This window comes from Homo sapiens, chromosome 13, assembly GCF_000001405.40.
Source record: "Homo sapiens chromosome 13, GRCh38.p14 Primary Assembly".
Classification (NCBI taxonomy): domain Eukaryota; kingdom Metazoa; phylum Chordata; class Mammalia; order Primates; family Hominidae; genus Homo; species Homo sapiens.
The window spans coordinates 43,628,466-43,636,963 of NC_000013.11; the positions used below are offsets into that span (position 1 = coordinate 43,628,466).

The following is an 8,498-nucleotide window of genomic DNA, read 5'->3' on the forward strand; positions in this document are numbered from 1 at the left end:
TCCTTGGTGAGACTTTCTATTTCTTTGCTGAGCTTTCTATTTTTGCATTTATTTCAAGTGTAATTGCTAGTTTAAGCATTTCTACCATAGCTGCTTTCAAATCCTTTTCAGATAATTCTGACAGTCATCCCAATGTTGGCAGCTATTGACTGTCTCTTTTCATACAATTTGAGGTCCTCCTGGTTCTTTGTATAAAGAGAGATTTTCAATTGAAAGCTGAACATTTTTATATTATGCTCTGAGACCTTGAACCTTATTTAAACCTTCTGTTTTCACTGGCTTTTCCTGACCTTGCTCCCATAGGGGAAGGAAGAATGCCATCTCATATTGCCAGGTATAAAGGTCCAGGTTCCCCACTTGGCCTTCGCTGACACCCAAGTGGGAATTTATTTTAACTGCTGGATATGGTTGGGGTTTCTAGATCTCTCTGTGGCCTCCTCAGACACTGATGTGAGGGTAGCACCATGACCACTAGGCAATGGTAAAAGTCCCAAGTCTCCATTAGGTCTCCAATATCACAGCCCCAGCAAGAAGGGGCAGGGGTACATAATTTTTGTTAGGTAGAAGTGGAAATCTACCATCTGATACTGCAGCATGAATGAGGAGAGGGGACAAGTCGTTACCAACCAGCAGGGATGAAAGTCCTCGCTCCCTACTTTGTCTCTGATATTACCCCACAGGAGAATAGTTATAGCCTCTGGAAAGTGAAAGAAAGTCTAGCTTCTGCACTCAGGCTTCCCTGGCACGGGTAAGAGTGGGGCCACAATTATTTCTGTTGTTTGGCAAAGAGATTAGTGTCTAAAAGTGTTCTGTCTTGCTGCAATGTCCCTTTTTCTACATTTCTGGCTAGAGAGAGTAGGCTTCACTGGGGGCTTTTTGTCTGTGCCCATTGGTATTCCCAGCTTGCTAGCTTCTTCAGTGTCAAGTCTTGGATATGTAAGATAAGAAGACAACACAGGGAACTTACCACCAGGTTATTCCTCTGGGTCTCATGTCCTTAACCAGTCTACTTCCTCCTCTCTGCCTTTCAGAATCTTGTGTTTGTTCTATATGGAATGTCCAGGAGTTTTCATTGTATTTAGTGGGAGGAATAGGAAAATCACATCCACTCCAATTACTCGAAAGTGGAATTCTGTATTTTTAATTCACATAGCTGTTACCTAATTGCCTTCCATACATGTATCAATTTACATTTACATTTCAGTTGAACCAATTACATTTCTGCAGAGTTAACACTGGTTTACACCACTGGTTTTCATTCCAGAAATTGCTCTTGGCCATCTGTTTTTGCCCTCACATCTGCCATTTTAGAGTCAACTTAAGAACTTTTTTTATAGAAAATTCTTCTTACAGGGTAGAAAAGAAGTAATGGTATTCAGGAGTGAGCTTCTAGTAGATGCCTTCCTTTCACTTGCCTGCCTCCCACCTAGCCCTAGTTCATCTAATTTGAAGGTGATTAGTGGAGCTTTTCTAAGCCTCCTCCACTTAACAAAAGTGAACACTACGCAGAGTTCTGAGAAGGGAATTTTTATTCCAGTTCCTGGTGTCTTCTATTTTATTCTAAATCAGATTATATTAAACAAAACTTCCCTGAAGTTTGAGGTATTTTATTGGGACTATTCCCTAATCCCACCATTCTCACCATGTATGCTTATTTTTGTATGTTTTAGTCAGTATTTTGGGAGAATGTGGTGGACTGCTATCATTCAAATAAGCATTAAGTGGACACCCTTTATAGGCAGCTTCTTTTCAGGGGCGGAAATAAGCCATTGCATGTGTAAGAACTAAGGTTGAGCAACAGCAATTTTGCCAGATGAGTATCCACTTTCGCTGTTTAGTCCCTCACACTTGATTACACCACATCTTTATTTTCTGGGCTTGTTTGTATGGTAGTCCTTAAACCCTACTTTCAACACTGGTGTGAAAAGAGTATTCCAAGAATAAGACAGCAGTAACTAGGAATCCCTATCATTTAAGATAGAAATACAATTAAAACACTCTCCCCTCAATTAAAGCTTATTGCCATTAATACACAGTCCCCAGAAGGGTTTTTGTTGGTTTTACTTCAAAAGCTGAAGCTCCTGCCCTTTACTACAAAGAAACATATACACATGAAGTAAAAGGATTACCTTGTGAGCCTCAATGTAGAATAGAGGGTGTGTGTACAGATATACTGCAACTTCTCAAACTAAAAAAAAAAAAGATATGTAAATACTTCTGATAAAATATTTACTTATACTAGAATATTTCATACAAAAAATACATAAAAATGGAACTCCACATAATACTATCTAGCTATAAATTACTGTAAAATGTTTTTTGGAATATTTTATTCTAGTCTCTTCCTAGGCATTTATATATACATACAACCACACACACACATATATATATATATACACACACACACACATATATATACACATATATATACACGCATACATACGTGTGCGTATATGTGTGTGTGTGTTTGTGTGTGTGTGTGTGTATGTAATACATATAATTAGATGGGCTCATACCGTAAATACCACTTTGAACTCTGCTTTATTCACTTAACATAATGTATTTTCCCATTTGGTTAAGTGGTCTTTAAAAACATGAGTCTTTAATGACTGCAATAATAATATTCTGCCTTCTGAAGGTGCCATAACTTAAACATTCTTCTATTTGTGGGTATTTAAGTTTTTACATTTTTGCCACTTTTAATAACACTGCAATGCATGTCCTTTTCCATAAATCTTTGAGTTTATTTTCCTCAGGGTAGACTGCTAGAATTTGGATTACTGAATTGCAGCTACTAGCTGCACTAGGCTCCCTCCCACAGCAGGAAACCTGGTTCTGGGTTAGGGCCAAATTCACTCTTGGCCTCAGCACTGAAAAGAGATTGCAGATTCTGCACCCCTCTGGCAAGACACTGTTGAGGTTCTCTTTAGAATTCTTATTTCCTGTCAGTGGTGCGGCCAGGTAAGCCTGGGGCTCTTTCAGCTTGCACAAAGTGTATTTGCTGCTTCTGCTCCGAGAAGAACTGCTAGGAATCGGGAAACTGAGTCAGATTTGTATGTTTCCTCTGGTTTGTACTCTGCCAGTTTGAGTCAGTAGAAAGGTAAGAAATTTTTTTTTGCAAGAACCCCTGTCTGCTAATTAATTTTAGAACAAATATAATAGTTTCCATACCACGAGGAAACAGTATCTTTAAAACAAAATCGGGAACACAATATCTACACGCAAGTAGGCTTTTATTATTTTTTCTTTTATTCTTTTTTCTTTGGCTAAAATTTAGGCACTATATTGTTTTACCACATTATCTGATCGTGATGCTTCATCTCTGATCACATGTTGCTGTCATTAAGGCATTTCTGAGGCTTTTCTTTCTTAATCTGGAAAGTTATTAAATTGTAAAAACGTGGCTTGTTGTATACTACCTTCTAAAATTATTAAAGAACACTTTTCTTTAAAACAAGAGTGTTCTCCATTGCCGTCAAGACAAACAGCAGTAACTTTACACAAAAGAAGCATTCATCTGTCACCCTACTTTAAAACACCCAATATTCATCAGCTGTTTGCCCTTCTTGGAGCAGCCTGAGCAGGAAAGGATTAATGTTTTATCCATTCATGCCCTTTGATCAATTTTCTATTGAGATGTTAGGTTTTTTTCTTCTGAATTTGAGAAAGCCCTTTAAGTACTGATTATATTAACCCTATGTCTATGTCTGTCATATTTGTTTAAAATAATTTTTCCCACTTTTCATTGCCATCTGATCTCATAGATGGTGAATTTTTTTTTACCATTCAGAAATATTTAAATTTAGTACATTATATAATGTTGTCTACTTTAGCATTTGTTTTAATTTCAAAATTAGGACATCATCTCAACCTGAAAATCATATATATTCATCAATTATATTTTCTTTTTTTAATGTATTTCTTTTTCTAGTGTATTATATATATAGCCTTATAAGATTATAATAATGTATTTCTATTATAATCTTAATTTTTTTTTTAAATGGAGTTTTGCTCTTGTTGCCCAGGCTGGAGTGCAGTGGTGTGATCTCAGCTCACTGCAACCTCTGCCTTCCGTGTTCAAGCGATTCTCCTGCCTCAGCCTCCCAATTAGCTGGGATTACAGGCGCCTGCCACCATGTCCAGCTAATTTTTTGTATTTTTAGTAGAGATGGAGTTTCACCATGTTGGGTAGGTTGGTCTCGAACTCTTGACCTCAGGTGATCCACCTGCCTCGGCTTCCCAAAGTGCTGGGATTACAGGCGTGAACCACAGTGCCCGGCCTGATTTTTATAATTTTAATTGTTTTATTATAATTTTAAACAGTAATAAAATACCATTTTTGAGAGATTTGAGTTTTCATTGGTTTTGATTCAACTTTTATCATATACTAAATTATTTCATACATTAGGTTTTTATACCCTGCTAGCTGTACCACTGTGATGTCTGTTGCTTCTTAGACTGTTCACTGGAGGTGTATCATATATTTAATATCTTGTAAAACAAGTATTTTCTTCTGCTATCATTTACTTTTTCTTTTCCTCAAAATTTTAAGTAGCTCACCCTATTTGTTCTTCTAAATGACTTTCGATTTGACAATTCAAGTTTCAAAATTTCTAAATGAACTTCAGAGTCAACAATTTGAGCTAGATTCCAATTTCATGACAAATATAATGTTTATAGCAGTAAAGATGTAAAAAGGCATTCAAACTCACTACTAACCATGGAATTATAAATTATTTGCCATCAAATAAGTAAAACATTTTAAAGGTTGATAATGTTCAATGTTGATATAAATATGGGTAAAATAGGCATTTTCATAGACCATTGATGAGAAAATAAATTGGTAGAGTTATTTTAGAGGAAATTTGCCAGTATCTATCATAATGCAAAATATGAGTATCATTTGATCCAATAATTCCCCATCTAGGAATCTGTCTCATAGATATTCTTACACATGTACACAAAGATACAAGGTAGTTCACCACAGCACTGTTTGTAAAAATCCCGCATTGGGATCCACAAATAAGTCCACGTGTAGGGGAATGATAAAAGTAAATTATTAAGTATCCATACCAAGGAATGTTGTAGAGCTATTAAAAATAATGAAGTAGATATATGTATAATAATATGGGGAAAATCTTTTAAGATATATTATTATATAAAAAAACAAGTTTCAGAGTAATGTGACCAACATAATGCTATTTACATTTTAAAATGTGTGTATGTGTGTGTGTGTGTGTGTGTGTGTGGATAGGTGGGTTGATAGTGTATATATGTATACATATATTTAGAAGGATAAGAACAAAAAGGATAGTAGTATTTACTTTTGGGGAGGTGAGGTTAGAGAGTAAAAAGAGCTTATAACTTTTAAATCTAAGTATTTCTATAGTATTGAGTACTATGTAGGTATTTCTCTTAAAAGTTTTAATTTCAAATATACAAATTGCACATAAATGTAATCTTATAATGAGTAAGTGAAAATTTAAAATATATTTGTATATTTTAAATTTAAAAACTTAAAAGCAACACCTACTTACTATTAATATCACCTTTACCTGGATCACCACTTTGTGTGTCTGTATGTTTATTTACTGTTGAACTGGCAGAAAGTTATTCATATTTGAACCGGCCAACAGATAATATGTGTACTCTCCTGCTGGCAAAACCCCTTGGGTGGTAGCTTCTGAATCTCTTTCTGGGTTCCATCCTATAGTGCAAGTTGGTCTGCACACTTTTAATGTTTAGCAAGTTTTCATCCTGGACTAACCTAAGCAACTGGGCTGAGGTGTATTATTTCCTATTGTTGCATATTTATTTACTCCAAACTCCCATCAAAGAGTACAAGGAAAGCCACAATACATGCACCCAGTGCTAGACAAGCTCTTCCTGCTTCCAGTTACATACTTGGATGGTGTGTTACAGAGGAGAGGGAGATTTACCACCTACGATGGATTTCATTCTTCTTCTCCAGCACGACCTACTAAACAAGGATAGTAAATTTCTGGGAGATGCTGTCTATGTAGATATTTTAAAAGGGTGTTGTAGAGAAGGAGCTCTGCAACAATATATGGAACAGGTCAAAAAGCAGTACCCACAGGAGACGGCTGCCCAGGCTTTCTAACTGCTACAGAAATCCAGTGTTGGCTAATGATAGTTATTCTCAATTCAGCTCCATCCATCTTGTAATCAGCAGAAATTCCTCTAGAAATCCTGCAAAAGGCCATCAGTCTTATTTTCTACCAATATGTTTTTATCTTTTTATGTCATCATGGGTATGTAAGTGGAAAGGTGGGAGAGGCTGCCTCAGGGTCTATCAGCCAGGTGATATTATAAACATGTTCTTTTGTAATTAAAAGTTCAAACATAAAATAACAATGTTAATGGGCAAAAGAGGTCATAAACACAGAAGTTGTAGGTGGGCACACACCACTCTTAGAACATGTTTCTACATCATGGTGGCTGTATCTGCTGCTTACTAATCAGGCATGGTGGCTCTCCAGGGTATTAATTCCCCCAAGGACCAAGAACCCATTTATTGTGTATGTGTGCAGGGAACAGGGGAACGTTTCTATGGCAGCTGCCTGGAAGATCAGAAGCAAGGGGAGAGAAAGGAATGAAGGAAAGCATTAACGAACACAGAAAGCCTGAAATCTGGGTAGAAATAAAGGTAGACAGTAGGGGATAAAAAGGGGATTAATACCTGTGAAGTGATAAAAGAGAACAGACTCCAAAAGGGGGTATAAGAGAAAAACTCTGTAAGTAATCAGTGGGAAATGGAAGCTCCACTGGAAAAGTCATTCAGCTTAGTTTTATTCAGACTTAAAACCGGGATTTGGTGCCACCAGAAGAGAGTAGGTAAGCATGAAAGCTGAAGCAATTTATCAAAATTATCCTTTCTACTGATGAGCATTTCTTTCAACAAATGTCCGTTACAAAAAGCAAAGCCACAATTGTATTAATTACTCAGCACCCGGTGCTGTTTCCTATGAAGAAACTAAGGAAAAAAATATAATATAAAAAGAATAAATGTATGACTTTTTTGGTCTTTGACAGAGATAAACGTGCTAGAAGGAAATCTTCCACTCTATTTGAAATGTAAAAATACATGTTCAGCTCATATATTTCCTGTAATTTCCACATGTGAGAAGTGAGAATGTCTAAAATTATCCAATATAAAATATGATGTATATCAGGATTTTGTTGGATCTTGTCAGCTACTCATAGGCAGATAAGGCAGGAAAGGAAGGGCCACAACTTGCATTAGACTTGCAGTTAAAGAGACAGAGAGATAAAGGAGAGGGAGAGAGAGAGAGCGAGCGAGCACACACATGCACTGAAATGGGCAAAACATAATGCTCACTCTGACCTCAATCCAGGGGCAAAAGAACAGCTAGTTTCAGGAACTAGGGCAAGATGCAGAAAGGGGGCCAGCAGTTCTCATAAGCCCTCTCGCACCAGTCAGCACACAACTATCAATCAATGGGGAAGAAGCAGGGCCCTATCATGGGACTGACCTTCTGGGGAAACGCAGCCCCAACACAGCCAGAATTGCTGTCAGCACAGCTAGGTAGGGCTTCATTCCTAGAGTGGGGACCAAATAACTAAGAGAGTTCTGTCCTACACCACCTCAGGCTGCCTGAGGTTGGAGAACTCGGGCACAGAAGTTTTGCTGTAACTAAGAGACAACAAGTGGGCAGAGCTGATGATGGGTCAAGAGCACTGGGTCCCATGCTCATGGTCACGCAAATAATAGTGACATACAGCAAATACTATAAAAGGGCCTCCTGTTATTGGTAGTAGCAGGACATCACATCCAATTTCAAACGATAACATCTTCTTGAAGGTGAAGTTTTTGCATTTAAAGTCTGGTTAATAACTGTTTCATGGAACCATGGGAAGATAACTCTGGAAGAGCCAGCAGATTATCTAGTGTCTGCCCAGGTTCCAGTGTAACTTGCTGTTTGTCTTTGAGCATTATCATTAAACCTTACAGGGTCTTGATTTTCTCATCCCAATAGTCTCCCTGGCCTCCCTGGAAAACTCTGTGGCCCACGAACTTTTGTCAGGAAGCTCTTCTTACAAATATTCTCTTAGCAAAAATTATCCTATATTTGACACTTTCAATTATTCAACAAATCTAGAGGAAATAATCACATTACAAAATAGATGTCCAGAACATTCCACCTTGTTTCACAGAAATCCTGTGGAAAGTAGACATGGCAACAGCATAACCAACGGCACGGGTGGCAGAGATCCAGGAAGACAAGTCAGGAAGGAACAGTGCTAAGGAGAGGAGGAAATCAGCCACTGAAGAAATTCTGGGACACAGCAATCAATCACTAGCAAAGAAGGTGCAGCTTTGAGAATACACTAAGGAAAAGGGAGGGAGGGAAGAAGAGACGGTAGGCAGGCAAGCGCATATTCTATGTTCCATAGTGCACTAGGGAAAACAGGACCATGAATGAAAGGTTTGGAACATAAGTCCTGTCATAGCTCAC

The 8,498-nt window shown here is 37.6% G+C and overlaps 1 protein-coding gene across 30 annotated transcripts in view; it reads right to left on the bottom strand.

Annotated features, from left to right (window-relative positions):
• Positions 1-8,498, bottom strand: part of ENOX1 (ecto-NOX disulfide-thiol exchanger 1) — a 573,843-nt gene that overhangs the window by 415,336 nt on the left and 150,009 nt on the right. For 9 of the 30 annotated variants that reach the window (XR_007063686.1, NM_001347964.2, XM_024449373.2 and 6 more), the window contains one exon: positions 2,130-2,188. The exons of 17 other annotated variants lie outside the window; for them this stretch is intronic. The gene's annotated coding sequence lies outside the window, so the exon portion shown is untranslated. Of the gene's footprint in view, positions 1-967; positions 2,189-8,498 lie in introns of those variants that run through there. 4 more of the 30 variants (XM_047430419.1, XM_047430418.1, NM_001127615.3 and 1 more) reach the window with 2 other exon arrangements.